The 18618-nt window shown below is 41.2% G+C and overlaps 2 protein-coding genes across 3 annotated transcripts in view; one reads left to right on the top strand and one right to left on the bottom strand.

The window, feature by feature from the left end:
• Positions 1-18618, bottom strand: part of RAP1A (RAP1A, member of RAS oncogene family) — a 174683-nt gene that overhangs the window by 141475 nt on the left and 14590 nt on the right. The window lies entirely within an intron of this gene.
• TMIGD3 (transmembrane and immunoglobulin domain containing 3) overlaps positions 11255-18618 on the top strand; it is an 80615-nt gene continuing 73251 nt past the window's right edge. For both annotated transcript variants that reach the window (NM_001302680.2, NM_001081976.3), the window contains exon 1: positions 11255-11371. In NM_001302680.2, coding sequence (NP_001289609.1) covers positions 11265-11371 — 107 coding nt within the window. In that variant the 5' untranslated portion in view covers positions 11255-11264. The remainder of the gene's footprint in view (positions 11372-18618) is intronic.

Here is an 18618-nt window from a genome sequence, read left to right as displayed (position 1 = left end):
TGATCATGCCACTGCACTCCAGCCTGGGCAACAGAGTGAGACTCTATCTCAAAAAAAAAAAGAAAGAAAGAAAGAAAGAAATTCAGTAACTTAGGTAATGTCATACAGGTAGTAATGATAGAGCCAGACAGAGCTGGAATTCATTTATTCATTTACTTCACAAATATTTATTAGAATATTTACTATGTGGCTTGCATTGTAGTAAGTGATAGAGTACAGAAATAATTATTCCTTCTCTCATAAAACATATATGTTTGTGGATTTTTATTTTGGAGTCTATATGCTTACACTATCTACTGCTATAGCAATTCATTTTTTTGTGTAGCCACAGATCACATAATTATTTCTTGCCAAATTCAAAAAAACAGTATAGCAGAGCCACTGCCTTCCAAACAAAACCAGCCCCTGAATTTGGCTTCCCAAAAACCTATCTGGTACTACACTTGTTTCAGGTCAGTTCCAACTATTTACTACAGTTACTGACTCATCTTAGTTTGTCTGGGACTTTACTAGTTTTAGCCTGAAAGTGCTGTGTCCCAGGAGAAGTGAAAGATCTCTACAGTGAGAATTACAAAACGCTGCTCAAAGAAATCAGACATAACACAAGCAAATGGAAAAACCTTCCATGTTCATGGATCAGAAGAATCAATATCATTAAAATGGCCAAACTGCTCAAAGCAATTTACAGATCCAGTGCTATTCGTATCAAACTACCAGTGACATTCTTCACAGAACTAGAGAAAACTATTTTAAAATTCATATAGAACTAAAACAGAGCCTGAATAGCCAAGGCAATCCTAAGCAAAAGGATGAAGCTGGAGGCATCCTGCTTCCCAACTTCAAGCTATGCTGCAGAGCTAGAGTAACAAAAACAGCATGGCACTGGTACAAAAACAGACACATGGACCAATGGAACAGAATAGAGAACCCAGAAATAAGGCCGCACACCTACAGCCATCTGATCTTCGACAAAGCTGACAAAAACAAGCAATGAGGAAAGGGCTCCTTATTCAATACATAGTGCTAGGTGAACTGGCTAGCCATATGCAGAAGATTGAAACTGGACCCCTTCTTTACACTATATACAAAAATCAACTGAAGATAGATTAAAGACTTACATGTAAAACTCAAAACTATAAAAACTCTGAAAGACAACCTAGGCAATATCATTTTGGACATAGGAACAGTCACATATTTCATGATGAAGATGTCAAAAGCGATTGCAACAAAAGCAAAAATTGATAAATGGTATTTAATTAAACTAAAGAGCTTCTGCACAGCAAAAGATACTATCAACAGAGTAAACAGACAAAGTATAGAATGGGAGAAAATATTTGCAATCTATGCATCTGACAAAGGTCTTATTTCCAGCATCTATAAGGGACTTAAACAAATTTACAAGAAAAAAAAACCATTAAAAAATGGGCAAAGGACATGAAAAGACACTTTTCAAAAAAAGACATACATGTGGCCAACAAGCATATAAAAAATCTAAATATCACTGATCATTAGAGAAATGCAAATCAAAACCACATTAGATACCATTTCACACCAGTCAGAGTGGCTATTATTAAAAAGTCAAGGCCGGGCGCAGTGGCTCATGTCTGTAATCCCAGCACTTTGGGAGGCTGAGGTGGGCAGATTGCCTGAGGTCAGGAGTTCGAGACCAGCCTGGCTAACATGGTGAAACCCTGTCTCTACTAAAACTACAAAAATTAGCCAGGCATTGTGGCGCATCCCTGTAGTCCCAGCTACTCTGGAGGCTGAAGCAGGAGAATTGCTTCAACCCGGGAGGCAAAAAAAAAGTTAAAAAATAACAGATGCTGGTGAGGTTACACAGAAAAGGGAATCCTTATACACTGTTGGTGGGAGTGCAAATTAGTTTAACCATTGTGGAAAGCAGTGTGGCAGATCCTCAAAGAGCCAAAAACAGCTACCATTTGTCCCATTACTCAGTATATACCCAAAGGAATATAAATTGTTCCACCATAAGGACACATGCACACATACATTCATTGGAGCACTATTCACAATAGCAAATACATGGAATGAACTAAATGCCCATCAATGATAGACTGGATAAAGAAAATGTGGTACATATTCACCATGGAATACTATGCAACCATAATAAAGAATGAGATCATGTCCTTTGCAGGAACATGGATGGAGCTGGAGGCCATTATCCTTAGCAAACTAACACAGGAACAGAAAACCAAATGCTGCACATTTTTTCTTATAAGTGGGAACTAAATGATGAGAACACATGGACACAAAGAGGGGAACGATAGACACTGGAGCCTACCTAAGAGTAGAGGGTGGGAAGAGGGAGAGGAGCAGAAAAAAATAATTGTTGGGTACTAGGCTTAGTACCGGGGTGATAAAATAATTTGTACAACAAACCTCTGTGACACGAGTTTACCTATATAGCAAACCTGCACATGTACCCCCGAACCTAAAATAAAAGTTAAAAAAAGAGAAAGTTCTGTGTCCCAGTAACCTCTTCAGTCCTGAGAAAACCATGATAGTTGGTCATCCTCCTATTTCTTAGCCTGGGCCTCGAAAAGATAGAGGATGTGGAAAGATCAAGCATTGCATAAATAGGTCTAACTTCGGAATCAGAGCAGATTGATGGGGTGGTGAAACTTCGGCTTCACCCAGGCCTGTCTCTACTGCTGAAGTAGAAATAATCTGGTCCAGCCTATTGCCTCCAAAGATGAGAAGTGAATCAGGGGATAAATGGAACATCTCAAGCATTGTCCATTCTCAGTGTAGGCATGCACGCTGTAAATGAACAAGATGATCTCTTGAGATACTTCAGGCTGAGGAATCCTGAGTTGCAAACCTCCAAGCATCTTTCCTTAATCTCAGCTTCAATTCACAACATGTAAGAAACTTGAATGGTAGGAAGCTGTGGGGTGGCCCAGGCAATCCTCTCTGAGTTTGCCATCTTGAGGAGAAAAGAGTGCTGTGTGCCTTTTAATGCAAGAGCCTTTGGAATGTGGTGAAAGAAGCTTCTGAAAGGCAGCCAAATCCTACTACATAATTGATTGCCGCAGCATACCCTGGCTGACCTGCTCTGATACCTCCCTGGTGCTGATGCATCTTTCTGCTGCCAGTTGTCTCTTCGCAGCTTGCTCAGATGCAGCTCTGGCAAGCTTCTGCATATGGAAATAGCAGGTTTCTCAGCTGCAGGAGGTGCCAAGGGCACTGTGCTGCAGCCCCTGCTTTCTGTCATTCTGTTAGCTCACAAGGATTCAATAAAGAGGGTCAGGGAATAAGGAGTAATCAGAGAGCCTCATAATTAGCTAAATCTGGGAAAACTCCCGAATCAGAAATTTAGCCTTTTTAAATTACAAAAATAGCCAAAAATGCATGCCATTTTATCTATCCTCTCACCAACTTCAAGGTTATGTATGGAGTTGGGGTTATATGTTCTTCTAGCAGAATGACCTGTCCCAAACTAAAGGGTTTCCCATAATCTTTCTGATTTTAGAGATAAGGGATTTCTTAGCCATTTTTAGCCCCTCATCAGGCTTCTTGTGTTCTAAGCTAGTCAGTGAATTAACTGATACATGTTTAATTAAGAATCTGTGTGCAATTGTGGTACAATAAAAAATATATTTAGTTTTAGTCTCTTGTTCAAGTCAAGAAGTTCCTAAAACCCTTGGAACTTCCCGACTGACAGGAGTGCCTTTTGTTATTCACAAGGAACCCCTTTAACCACATCTGGATTTATGCTAATGAGGTGACTCAGGTTGGAGCGCCTAGATATCTCCAGGATGGAGGCTGGTCACCAGAAAGGCTGAACTTTCAGTCCCATCCCCTGAACTTCAGAAAGGGTGGGAGGCAGGGCTCTTGAAATTGATTATAAAAAGTCTTGAACAATGGGACCCAGGAAGCTTCTGGGCTGGTGAACACAGGGATGGGCTGGGACAGGGTGCACCTGGACAGAGTGTGGAAACTTTGCGTGCCCTGCCCCATACTGTGCCCCAGACATCTCTTCCATTTGGCTATTCCTAAGTTGCACCTTTTAAAATAAGCTAGTAAATGTAAGCAAAGTGGTTCCCTGAATTCTGTGAGTCATTCTAGCCAGTGATTAAACCTGAGGGGGAGTCATGGGAACCCTTGAATTTGTAGTCAGGCAGAAGTGCAGGTAGCCTGGGCACCTGAAGTGGGGGCAGTCTTGTGAGACTGAGCCCTTACCCTGTGGGGTCTGTGCCAGCTCCAGTAGTTAGTGTCAGAATTGAATTGAATTGTTGGACATTGCTATGGTTTGTCTTCACCAAAACTCATGTTGAAATTTGGTCCCCATGTGGCTGAATTGGGAAGTGGCGCTTGGTGGGAGTTGTTTGAGTCACGGAGGTGGCTCCCTCATGAATGGCTTGGTGCTGCTCTTTAGTGAGTGAGTTCTTGCTCTGGCCAGACTGGGTTAGTTCCTGCGGGAGTGATTTGTTATAAAGCCAGATGTCCCTCAGGCTATTCTCTCTTCATACATGTTTGCTTCCCCTTTGACCTTCTCTGTCATGTTATGACAGCACAAAAACCCTCACCAGAAGCCAGGGCCATGCCCTTGAACTTCTTAGCCTGCAGAACCATGAGTTAAATATACCTCTTTATAAATTACCCCGTCTCAGGTATTCTTTTATAGCAGCACAAAATGGACTAAGAGGGACACCAAGTTGGTGTTGGAGAATTGAAGAATCAGTGTGGAATCCCTCCTCTGCCTGCTCCCCCACATTTGGCATCAGAAAATACAATGAACATACTAAGTACCAAGGAGGAGACACAAAAATAATAGATGGTTACTTACAGAGTTTGCAATCAACTGCGGGTTCAAACGCACATGAAAAAATGCACTATTCAAAGCCATTTTGATAGGTGCCCAACCTTCAACCTTGGTTTGACCTTGAAATCCCTTTCAACTTTAGTGTATTTTCACTCTATGATTCTCAGGCACACAGACAATAGGACTGTGAAATGGATCCTTGCCTCTTACGTGGCCTCTGAGGCTTGGTTTTGAAGCCTCAGAGGATCTGCCACACTCACCAATCATGACGCTGGCATGGCAGTGAGAGCAGGGTGCTGGCTGTTTGCTCACAGGGCATTTGAGATCTCATGCCAAAATGCAGGTTAGGTTGGCACAACTTTGCCTGTCCCCTGGGACATTAAGAAGGTTCCCCTCTCTACACAGTCAGGACATAGCACTCAAGCAGTTTCCTCCCTGACGTTTTACACTTTGCTTTTATATTTTCCCTGTCCAAGTGGAAGGAATACCACAGAGACTCCTGTTCTCACTGGGAAAAGACTTCTTAATATTTCTTGTTAATCAGAACCTTCCAGTGAGACCTTTGAATTCCTGTGTCCCCCAAACATTTTGTGGATCCAAAAGTGCTAAAAAGTGGGAGATTCTAATACTTCTGAGCAGGTAGTACAGCTACATGTATACCAAACACTATCTGAAGACTTCTGGGAAGACCTCTTGGCCAAAGGTACCTCCCCATCTTAGAGAATGATTCCTTTATGTGGGCCTTGGAGACATTCATGAAGTCTTTGGAGGCTCTTAAAAGTGAACCCCAGAAACATAACAGTTTAGAACCCTGGAGTCACCCAAGTAGAAGACAGCCTAGGAATAATCTAGCTCATGTCCTTAATTTTCTAGTACAGAGACAGAACTTGATTTGCCTGGGACCTTGCACCCAGTACAGCAGCTGAGCTAGGCTATTTCTAAGTACAGTTGACCCCTGAATAATGAAGGGGTTAGGTTAGGGGTGCTGACCCCTGGCACGGTCGGAAATCCAAGTGTAACTTTTTTTTTTTTTTTTTTTGGAGACGGAGTCTCACTCTGTCTGGAGTGCAATGGTGCGATCTCGGCTAACTGCAACCTCCACCTCCTGGGCTCAAGATTCCCCCGCCTCAGCTTCCCAGGTAGCTGGGACTGTAGGTGCACGCCACCATTCATGGCTAATTTTTGTATTTTTAGTAGAGACAGGGTTTCACTATGTTGCTCAGGCTGGTCTCAAACTCTTGACCTCGTGATCCGCCCACCTCGGCCTCCCAAAGTGCTGGGATTACAGGCGTGAGCCACCATGCCCGGCCTCCAAGTGTAACTTTTGACTTTCCCAAAACTTAACTACTAACAGTCTACAGTTAACTAGAAGCCTTACTGATAACACAGTCAACATAAACAGTCAATAATATGCAAAATAAAATTTTGTATATTATATGTATTATATATTGTATTTTTATACTATAGTAAGCTAGCGAAAAGAAAATGTTATTAAAAATCATAAGGAAGAGAAAATGTATTTACTATTAATTAAGTGGAAGTGAATCATCACAAAGGCCTTTATCCTCCTCATCTTCATGTTGAGTAGGCTGAGGAGAAGAAGGTGGAAGAGGAGAGGTTGGTCTTACTGTCTCAGGAGTGGCAGGGGCGGAAGAGATGGAGGAAGTGGAAGGGAGGCAGGAGAGGCAGGCATACTCAGTGTAACTTTTATTGAAAAAATCTGCATGTGAGTGGACCTGTGCAGTTTGAACCTGTGTTGTTTAGGGGTCAAATGTATTACCAGAACTCTTTCAGCATTATTAGGCTACCTCCCTAATGAATGAGCAAAGAATCATTAGCTAGCTGTGATTGATATGGTTGGGATGTTCATTTCCTCCAAATCTCATGTTGAAAAATGCGAATCCCAGTGTTGGAGGTGGGGCCTGGTGGGAAGTGATTGGATCATGGGGGTGGATCCCTCCTGAATGGTTTAGCATCCCCTTGGTGATGAGTGAGTTCTTGCTCAGTTCACTTGAGATCTGGGTGTTTAAAAGAGCCTGCCCTCCTCCCCACCACGTGTGGGTTCCTCACTGGCCATGTGACCTGCCTGCTCCTGCTTTGCCTTGCACCATGAACAAAAGCTCCCTGAGGCCTCACTAGAAGCTGAGTAGAGATGCCAGAGCCATGCTTCCTGTACAGCCTGCAGAACCATGAACCAATTAAGCCTCTTTTCTTTATAAATTACCCAGCCTCAGGTATTCCTTTATAGTAATGCAAGAACAGACTAACACAGTGACTATGACCCTAAGAGTAGCCTAGAGGGGCTAAGGTGTGAGAAGGAAGGAATAAAGCCCAATGTGGTAAAAGGACACTAAACATCATTCTTGCATTTCCCCTGGAAGTATGGACAAGGAGGCACAGCAATGGCCCACTGTTTCTGGTATTCTGCTCAGGGGCCAGGCATAGGGAGAAATGGACCATGTTTGTCTAAAGATCTTTATTAGTCTGCTCAAGCTGCCACAACAAAGTACCACAGACTGGGTGGCTTAAACAACAGAAATTTATTTTTTCATAGTTCTGGAGGCTGGATGACCAAGATCAAGGTGACAGAAAATTTGGTTTCTGGTGAGGACTCTCTTCCTGGCTTACAGAGAGTCACTTTGTCAGTATGTTCTGGCAAGGCCTTTCCTCTGCCTTTCCACTGCCCTGCAGAGGTTGGGGGTTGTGGTGGGGAAGATAGAGAAAGAGTAAGAGTGACAGAGAGACACATATATGTCTCTGGTGTCTCTTCCTCTTCTTATAAGGACACCCAAACTATCAGCTCAGGGTCCTACCCTCAGGACTTCATTTAACCTCAGTTACCTCCATAAAGACCTTATTTCCAAATACAGTTACCTTTGGGGCTAGGGCTTCAATAGATGAATTTTGGGGGGACACAGTTCAGTCCACAATAGGATTGTCATTTTATTCTGGGGAGAATCTCCAGCTAGTAGTACAGAGTTAATCTTGGCAGTGATGAGACTTTTAGCAAGAACTGGATTTGCCATTTAAGGCCTTTCTACTTTTAGCTGACAAAGTTTCCAGCTTCATGGGGCACAAAATATTATCCAAAACCTATTTTCTACCTAGTGTTTAAGTAATTCACGTATCTTACACATCCTGCTGGTGTAAGATACCCAAGCACCTTTCACCTCAGGTGAGTTGAGTTCTCCTCCTCTCTGCACCCACTATACTCTGTGGATAGAGCTCTTATAACTGCATTCATAATGTAGTTCTACAATGACCTATTTATCTATCTCCTGCTTTAAATGGTGGACTTCTTGAGGGCGGGGCCTATGTCTGTTCTTATTCATGTTTATATCCCTATGTCCTGCTCAGTGCCCATAACCCATCAGCTGATACATGTTCAATGGATGAAAAAATATGGCCTCCTAAAACTATCGATATACCATGACGCTAATGAAGCTTAAGTGTCAGGGCCCCTCATTTGCATGAGAACCTACCTAGTGATTTTAAATTCATAATTGGGTATTATTTTACTTAAAGAGACCCTTCCTCCTCCCCCCTCCAAAAAAAAAAAAAAAACCCAACCACCAACTATATAAATTTTAGGCTCCACAAAACCTGGGCACGCCCCTGGGTTGCTGAGATGGAGTGTGACTCTATTTAATTTATGTTCCCTGTTTGCCATTGGAGGAGAAGGAAGAACCCCAAGTACATTTCTCCTTTCCTGAGATTATTTTTGAGAGATATAATCTTGTCACTTAACCATCATCTGATCAAAGGAAATGAAAATGCTGGAGCAGTGTACCTGGCAGCATGGAATACATTAACTTCCAAAAATTATACTAATCAAAGACAAACAAGATGCCCAGGTGAAATTCCAGGTGATGTTTCTTTATTCATAATGTTTACGGTCAGGGGGAAATATGGCCACTGAAGTCAGCCCTCACACCCCGCATCCCTTTAGGAGCTCAGTCATTTGCTTGGACACCCAGCTTTGGAGGGCAGTAGTCATTTGCTCCTCAGAGCCTACAGTGTTAGGGACTGATCTTTAAGCCATCCTGTTACCCTCATTCTTCATACCTATCCAATGACAAGTCTAGCCAACTTGACCTCTCATAATGTCTCACATTAGCCCACTTCTCTCTTCTCCACTGTCACTGCCCCCGACTCTTGCCTCATTTTTGCAACCAGCACTAACTGGTTTTCCTCCTTCCATTCTTGCCCCACTTCAGTGTATGCTCCACATGATAGCCAGAATGACCTTTGCAACAATCCCAGCTGGCTGGGTGTCTTCCCTCGGTAGCTCCCTGTTATACTCACAATGAAGTTCAAATTCCCTTAAATAACACACGAGACCTTCAGACCCAACTTCTGTTTATTTTTTCTTCCTCATCTCCGCCTACCTGCTTGCTGGCACTTCAGGACTCATCATTCTGAGTTATTTGTTCCTCCTCGAAGGTGCCATGCTCTCTTTGTGATCTGGACGTTGGCACATGTAGACCCTCTGCCTTGAGGTTTCTTCTACATCCCTGGTTTGTCTCTTCCACTTTGAGTTTAGATTAGTGCTGTCCAGTAGAAATATAATGTGCTGTCCAGTAGAAATATAATGTGAGCCACATATTTATTTAATTGTAGATTTTGTAGTAGCCACATTTTTTGAAAGTAGAAGTAAAAAGTACATGAGCACTAACAAAACAATCATGAAATCTTATGGGATGCAATGACAAAAGTAGAAGTAGTCCTACCAAAACTGTAAGGTTGAATTTAAAGGAAAAATGCTTCACACTGCTTCAGTTTTATATTTAAATTAATTAATATTAAACATTTGGTTCCCCAGCCATACTAGTCACATTTCACATCTTTAATCACCCCATTCTGAATGGCACAGGTTTAGACTTCAGTTTCTCTGACATCCCATCTGCAGTAGGTGCCCTCCATATGTTACTACAGGAATCAGGGCTTAACCCTCTTGCAGTACCAGTTACACTGTGATATAGCTGTCTGCTTACTTGTCTCTGTTCTTCATCAGACTCAGCTTCTTGACAGTAACGCCTTTGTCTTATTCATCTCTGTATCATCAGCACCCAACAATTCTGGCCTAAAATAATTGCTTGGTTTGTTTGAACGAGGTTGAATGCCTGAAAAACAACAATCTTCTATGGGCCTATGAGGCATTACAAAATCAGGTCCCTCACTTGCTCACTCTGACCTCATCTTCTACCACACTCCCCCCCTTTGTTCATTCTGCTCCAGCCACACTGGCCTCCTTCCCATTCTGTGAATAACCTAAGTATGAGTGAAGCTTAGGGCCTTTGCATTATGTTCTCTGTGCCTGGAAAACCCTTCTCTTGAGGGCCAATTGGCTTCGCTTCTTCCCTTACTGCATTTAGGTGTCTTATTAAATCTGCCTTCCCTGACCAACTTCTTTCCAACATAGACCCCATTCCACCAGTTAATTTCCTAAGTTTATTTTTCATCACAATGTCCATCACCATTTGGCATGTTAATTATTTAGTTAGTCTGTCCTGACTGTAATGCAAGTTTCATGATAGCAAGCATGGGGGGCTTTTTCTGGGGTGATCAGTGATGCATTCACCTAAGTAACTTTTTTTTTTTAAGAGTTGGGGTCTCACAGGCCGGGTGTGGTGGCTCACGCCTGTAATCCTAGCACTTTGGGAGGCCGAGGCGGATGGATCACAAGGTCAGGAGATCGAGACCATCCTGGCTGACTCGGTGAAACCCCATCTCTACTAAAAATACAAAAAATTAGCCGGGTGTGGTGGTGGGCGCCTGTGGTCCCAGCTACTTGGGAGGCTGAGGCAGGAGAATGGTGTGAACCCGGGAGGTGGAGCTTGCAGTGAGCCGAGATCGTGCCACTGCACTCTAGCCTGGGCAACAGAGTGAGACTCCGTCTCAAAAAAAAAAAAAAAAAAGAGTTGGGGTCTCACTCTGTTGCCCAGGATGGAGTGCAGTGGTGGTGCCATCATGGCTGACAGCATCTTCAATCTCTGGGGCTTAGGTGATCCTCCTACCTCAGCCTCCCAAATAGGAATATAGGCATAAGCCACCAAGCTAGGCCTATACTCCCAACTTAGAATAGTTTCTGGCACCTAACAGGTGCTTGATAAATATTTATTGACAGCAGGAATGTTAAGACTATCACAGGGAAGGTTAGGGAATGGGAAAAGGCAATAAGGTACTCAGAAGTAGAGTTCCAGAAATTTCAATGTTTCTCTCATTTCAAGTTTCACAATGTCCAAATGGCTTGGAAAGCCACACAATGACCAGATTTTCATTGATTTATGTGTAAAACTTGAGGCAGGAGTAAAAAGATAGTCATGAGTTTTAGGAGCTTAAGGCTTTATGAGTATGTCCAATTCTCTACCCCCCAAAACAGGGAATTCCTGGTTCTCTAATGGCAGAAGGGTTGGATGGGTGGAATGTGGCTGTTGGAAGCTTCTGTGGCAGTTGGTAGAGACCACCAGTTGGACCAATGGAAGGGTCTCCAGCAGGACCCATTGAGCAGAAGGAGGCCAGGTGGGAAAGCTCCTGGGAAGAGCAGCCAGACTGGACACTGGGCTGCTTGAGTCCTGAGTCACAGTGAGTCATAGCAGAAAATATAGCTGCTGGGAGGCAGAGGTTGGGGTCTGAGTCTGCATACTGACCACTTTGGAACATTTATTCATGATATGGGGCAAGCTACTTAATCAATGCTTTGTCCTAGCGTGTAAAATAGAGATAATTTGTATTCCACAGGGTTGTGAAGATGATGTGACATAATATACGTGAAAATGCTCTGTGAACTGGAAAGTGTTTGACACATACAAGTTATTAGCTCTGGAGGCATTTTCCCATGAATTCTCTTGTCTACCTACCCTACACCTTCGATCACTGAATTTATTGTATATAACTCAGGGCTCTTGTAAACTTTTATTTTGTTATATAAAACTCAGGCTCGTTTCTCCCGAATGTCCCTCAAGGTTCAGAAAAACAAATCTCAATCTGGCCTTGGAGAACTTAAGGAGCCACATCCTGACATTTCAAGGAATACTGTTTTCCAATTATTTCATATGTGAATGTCTTATCTCCCCAGATAGACAGTAAGCTGCTTGTTGTTAAGAGCACAGACTTCAGTACTGGGTTTATTTATTTATTTATTTATTTATTTTTGAGACAGGATCTCACTGTTTTGCCCTGGCTGTAGTACAGTGGTGCTAATCATGGCTCATCGTGGCCTCAACCTCCTGGGCTAAATCGATCCTCCTGCCTCAGCCACCTGAGTAGCTGGAACTACAGGCACATGCCACTGTGCCCAGCCTCAGTATTGGGTTTAAAGTTAGTTTTGCTTACTTACTAGCTGTGTAGGACTTTGAGTACGCTGCTTACTCTCTTTAAGCCTTAGTTTTCTCATCCACAATATTGACATTATAATAATAATTTATAAAAGGCTGTTGTGAGAATTTCAAAAGATAATCTATCTAAAGTTCTTAACCCAGTACCTGGTACATAGTAAGAGACTAATCAATGTATCTTTTTGGCAATAGCTACCAGCACAAGGCTAAGCATCTACTTGTATTGGGCTTTTCTAAAGTACTTGATTGATTGAGAACTAAAAGCAAACCAAAGAAAGCAGAGTAATTCAAAGCTAATCTTGGTTTTAGTCTTCCAGCCTATCAAGAGGAACAGAAAGGTGTATGGCCTCCTGATCCAGGCAGAGAAGTAAACAGCAATATAGAGGCAATTTATTTTCTTGGATTCACAATGGATTACTTTCATTTGAAACATGGCAGTGGGTTTAGGTAGAGGGAGGGAATATTGGCAATTTTAGTCCTGAAATGTTGGTGGGATGTTTATGGGACACAAGTATGGGACAAGCATGACACAAATTTTCTAGGACATTTTCCACTTCCAAATCATCTGTCACATTTTCAGACCACACATTTTGATTTTTGTTCAGGAAATCTGATGGACACAAATGCAGGTGTACATGACCAATAATGATTAACATTTTATTTCTATGGTTATTTGTTTAATTTAACCACACAGACAACAGTTTTAAAACTCTTACTGAACTCTACCAACAGGTTCTAGGGGTCAAAGATAAGGTATAATTCTTGACCTCCTATTATGGTTGAGGAAACAGACACATAACTGTATTGAAATACTGAAGTGCTGTTCTAAGGGTTATGTACAAAATGATATGGATGTGGAACATAGGGGAAGAAGTGGTGGGGTCAGAAGAAATTTCACAGAGGAAATGGCGTATCTGAAGAATAGCTAAGATTTGTCCACGTTGCCCACAAGAAAAGACCATCTCATAGAAAAGAAATGGCACAAGCAAAGACCTGGAGACACATATGATGTTATTGAATCACAGGGTGGGGTGGCTGTCCCAGTTGAGAAAAAAGATTGAAAAGTTAATTTGGGTTCAGAGTGTGGAGGGTTTGAATTCTATCGTAAGCAGAAATTTAAACTAGGGATGACCTGGTGTCAGTAGGGAGGGTAAATGCAGTAGGGAGAGGCCAGGGGCAAGGAGGAGATGGGGAGGAGTGTTGAAAAAGTCCGGGCCAAAAATGCTTGGCCCTGAGTTAGGACTATAGCCGTGGGAATGGAGAAAGGGGATTAAATTCAGACATACTTCTGACAGAATGGACCCAACACAGGGCCCTCTTCCAATTATACGTACACACACATACACACAAATACACACACATATGAGAGAAAGACTCCATTAAGAGACACTTCCATAAATGAGAAGGAAAAATTACAAAAAATTCTATAGTAGTGAGCAGTAGGAGAGAAGAGTAATGGCCTATGATTGAATAAAATTCTGTGACCTTCTGCTCTGTGTTTGACCTGACCATGTGGCCTTGATGTGGAGACTATGACCTCTGTATCTCAGTCTGTATTTCCTCCTCCCTTCCTCCCTCCTTCCCCCAATACATACACAATCTGCTTCTGTGTCACATGTTAATAATAGCTGCCAGCTGGCCACCAGATCCTCCATCTAAAATTAATGATTGGAGCTGGGCACGGTGGCTCACGCCTGTAATCCCAGCACTGAGAGGCTGAGACAAGCGGATCGCTTGAGCCCAGGAGTTTGAGACCAGCCTGGGAAACATGGCAAAACCCCGTCTTTACAAAAAATACAAAAATTAGCCAGGCGTGGTGGTGTGCACTTGTACTCCCAGCTACTTGGGAGGCTGAAGTGGGAGGATCATCTAAGCCTGGGAGGTTGAGGATGCAGTGAGCCACAATCGTGCCACTGCACTCCAGCCTGGGTGACAGAGGGAGACCCTGTCTCAAAAACAAACAAACAAACCAACAAACAAAATTGTGTAGGGAGGAGCTTTGAAGATGGAAAGTCCTATTATTTTCTTCTTCAGGGTATGGTCCTCTTTCAAGTCAGCCTTGTTCGCTGGACACAAAGCAAAACTCAGCCTAGTAAAGGATGGGCTTTCAGAGGATGACAGTACTCTTTCACCTGACTTCTGGACCAGCCAGAGATCTGGTGCGGTTGTTACAGGAGGAAGAGCAAATTGGGCTACAGGTCCTGAAGCAAGAGGAAAGGCCTGGCAAGGATTTGGGAGGATGGAGAGAAATTGGCTGGATACATTTTCCTTGGTCTCTAAGACGATCAAGAACTATTTACCCAGCCAGGTGCTGTGGTGTGTGCCTGTAATCCCAGCACTTTTGGAGGCTGCGGCTGGAGCATTACTTGAAGCTAGGAGTTCAAAACCAGCTCCGGCAACAAAGTGGGTCCCTGTCTCTCCAACAAATGGAAAAAAAATTAGCTGGATGTGGTGAGGCATGCTTGTAGTCCCAGCTACATGGGAGGCTGAGGCAGGAAGAGTGCTTGAGCCCAGGAGTTTGAGGCTGCAGTGAGCTATGATCGTGCCATTGCACTCCAGCCTCAGTGACAGAAGACCCTGTCTCTAATTAATAAGTAAAACATTTAAAAAGTATTTATTGGATATTGTGTACCTGCTACCAAGGGCTTCTTTCAATCTGTTCCACAAAGTCTATTCATTTACCCAGCAAATATTTGTTAAGAACTTAGTGAATATCAGCCCCTGCCTTAGGCCTTAGAAATACAGAAACAATAAATGAGACCAGGACCATCTACCTCTGCCCTCACTCTCCATTCTAGATTTTAGCCAAAAGGCTGAGAACGATTGACCTCACTCTCTTTGTTAGTTCAGCTCTAAAGATTGTAAGACGAGGTTGGGCTTGTATGTAGGTGGGGAGTCTTCTCTTGTGATCTCATGTGTTTAGATAAGTATGCTAAGAGAATGCTAGACAATTTTGTCAGCCTCACCAACTATATTGTAATCTCTGAGCTTCCAATGCTCAGTCTATTACCTAACACATAAGCAATGCTCAGTAAAAGAGTGTTGAATGAAAAAAATTGCCTACTCTGAGCGGCAATTTTTAACTCAGTGTTTGATGTGTCAAGAACCTTTGATCTTGAAGTGTGGGACAGGACAACTGATAAGTGCTAAATCCTACTGTGAAAATTCCACTGTTCAGAGTTGCAGAAATACAAGGCATACATGAGAGTAGACTTAGTAATTTATGCTGCATCTTTGATTTCACAGTAACACTCAACACTCAGTCTCTCCCAGCATTAAGATTTGAAGCCACCTCATAGCTAGACTCATGTTATGGCTTTTAGCCAATTGAAGGAAGGAAAGTTTTAAATGAAGCAGTCATTTTATTTCCCTAAGACCAGGAAGGCAGTGATAGCAAAAGGAACATGGATGTTTTAAATATTAATAATAATAATTTTATATTTGCATAATGCTTATACTTTCCCAAAATATAGTTTGTGTCATTGGATACCATTTGATTATATCATGATAGATAGGATAGAAATTATGATCTCCTTTCCAGATAAGAAAAAGGAGGCAAAGTGAGAAAAAATGATTTACCTAAAGACACACAGCTGGGTACTGGAAAAATTGGACTGCAACTCAAATCTCTTGATGACCAGTATTATGCTGACTTCCATATTTGGTTTTGGAGGCACTAAGTTTCATAAAGAATAGGATTTTTTTTAGGTCACTGCTGAATCGTAAATGCCTAATAGTGGGTGTTCAATAAACATTAGTTTAATGCATGAATAAATTCCTTCCTTCCAATTCTTTGAATCTGTTTTAATTGCTTTAGTCCTAATTTCTTGTGTTAGTTGATTATCTTATTAATATTTGTATTTTTTCTTGCTCATATAGGCAATTAAGACTGTGCATTTCCCTCTAAATACTAGTTTAGTTGTATCCCACAAGTTTTGATATGTATTTTCATTATTATTATTTATCACTTAGTCCTAAATATTTTCAAATTCTAAAGAAGTTTAAATACATGTTTTTTAAAAATTATCTTTTAAAACTGGATATATATTGTAATTTAACTGCATTATGTTCAGAGAACTTGGTCTCTGGGAAACTGATTATTTTTAATATGTTAGAATATAATTTATGACCTCATATATGCTTGATTTTTATAAAAGTATACTTTTCACTTGTTACTACGTTTTACATATAATCAGTTGGATCAAACTTATGGTGTTGTTTAAATAATCCCCTGTAGATGTTTTAAGCAGAGATTCTATCAGTTACTGAAAGAGGTATGCTAGAATCTGTCACAATGGTGGTGTATTTGTCAATTTTTTTGTAAGTTTGTCATTTTTTACTTTACATAGTTTAAATTTTATTAGGTACATAAGAGTTAAGAAGTTTATATCTTCCTGGGAAATAAAAACATTGATGGTTATGTAGTAACCCATTTATTTTAGCAAAATTTTTGTCTGATAGTCATGTATTATAACTACACAAGCTTTCTTTCAGTTACTACACTGCCATTCTTTAAGTTTCAACCTTTCTTTGTCTCTTTGTTCTGAGTGTTCACCTTATAAATAGCAAATGTGGATTTTAAAAAGTGCTTTTTAAAAATTATTTCCCTCCAGGTGCTTTGGCTTATGCCTGTAGTCCCAGCACTTTGGGAGGCTGAGGCAGGTGGATTGCTTGAGCCCAGGAGTTCAAGACCAGCTTGGGCAACATGGCAAAACCCTGTCTTAAGACAAAAAAAAAAAAATAGAAAAATTAGCTGGGAGTGGTGGCACGTGCCTGTAGTCCTCGCTACTCAGGGAACTGAGGTGAGAGGACCACTTGAGCCTGGGACATGGAGGTTGCAGTGAGCCAAGATTGCGCCACTGCACTCCAGCCTGGGCAGTGGAGTAAGACCCTGTCTCAAAACAAAAAGAAAAAAATTTCCATATTGACTTTTTTAACCCAAAGAGTTTGGTCTGTTTATTGTAATTACTGTTATATTTAAATTAATTTCTATTATCTAAATGTGCACTTTCTATTTCTTCTGCTTTTTCTGTTTGCTTATTCCTATTCCTTTCTCTCTTTCTTTTGGATTCAGATTCTATGCCTTTATTCAATTTTTTCCCCTTTAATAGATGTTCTATTCTTATAATGGTTACTCTAGAAATCTTAACATGCATAATTTTCTTAATACAGGCTAAAGCTATTTGATACATTTCTCTTCTAACAATTTAAGGAAGCTTAGAGTGCTGTTACTCAGATTAATCTCCCCCAATTTTTATGCTGTCACTGTTCACATTTCTGTTTGTTTTACTTCTTATCCCATAAATTAGCTATTTTACTTATTGTTTTATATAATCAATTGTTTTTAGATTTCTGTCTATGTCTATATATTTGTCAGGCTATTTGTTTAGTATCCCTTCTAGCATCTCAAACCTTTTTTCTGATATCATTCTACTTCTCAGAATGTATTCATTAGAAGTTCATTTGGGTCTATTAGTAAAGTTCCAATTTTTAATTATCCAAAATTTTCTTTATTTTCCTCCTTATTTTTGTAAGTTTTTTTTTTTAATGGAGTCTCACTCTATTGCCCAGGCTGGAGTGCAGTGGTGTGATCTCGGCTCACTGCAACCTCCTCCTCCTGGGTTCCAGCGATTCTCCTGCTTCAGCCTCCCGAGTAGCTGGGACTACAGGCGGGTCCCACCATGCTCAGCTAATTGTTTTTGTATTTTTAGTAGAGACAGGGTTTCACCGTGTTAGCCAGGATGGTCTTGATCTCCTCACCTCGTGATCTGCCTGTCTCGGACTCCCAAAGTGCTAGGATTACAGGCGTGAGCCACCACGCCTGGCCTTCTGTAAGATTTTTAAAATATATACATTTTTAGGTAAACTTATTTTTCATTTCAGTCTTTTGAAGAAATGATGCTTTTCCATCTGCCTTCCACTGTGGTGTTGAAAAATCAGTTGTCAGTCTAAATATCATTCCTCTGTAGGTAATATCTTTCTAACTAGTCTTAACATTTCTCTTTGTAGATCTGTGGTTTTACAAAGACATTTTACAAAGTGTCTAGATATGTATTTGTTTTATGAGGGATTCTTTGTGATTCCTTAAGTTGAATATTTGCATCTTTTATCAGTTCTGAACAATTCTCAACCATTATTTTTCCCCAAGTTTTGAAAAAACCTTGGTAATATATATGTACATACATATATATAATGTAAAATGTACCATTTTAACTATTTCTAAGTGTACAGTTCAGTGACATTAAGGACATTCACATTGTTGTGCAATCATTACTACCATTCATCCCCAGAACTTTTTAAAAAGCTTCCCAGAGTAAAGCTTTATACCCATTAAACACTAACTATCCACTCCTCCCTCCCTCAAGCCCCTGGCAACCCATTATACTTTCTATCCCAATTCTAAGTACCTCATATAAATGGAATCATACAATATTCATCTTGTTGTGACTGACTTATTTCACTTAGCATAATGTCCTCAAGTTTCATCCATGTCGT

This window comes from Homo sapiens, chromosome 1 (assembly GCF_000001405.40).
Source record: "Homo sapiens chromosome 1, GRCh38.p14 Primary Assembly".
NCBI classification, from domain to species: domain Eukaryota; kingdom Metazoa; phylum Chordata; class Mammalia; order Primates; family Hominidae; genus Homo; species Homo sapiens.
Note: the sequence above shows the minus strand (reverse complement) of the source record. Positions and strands in the feature narration are given on the sequence as shown.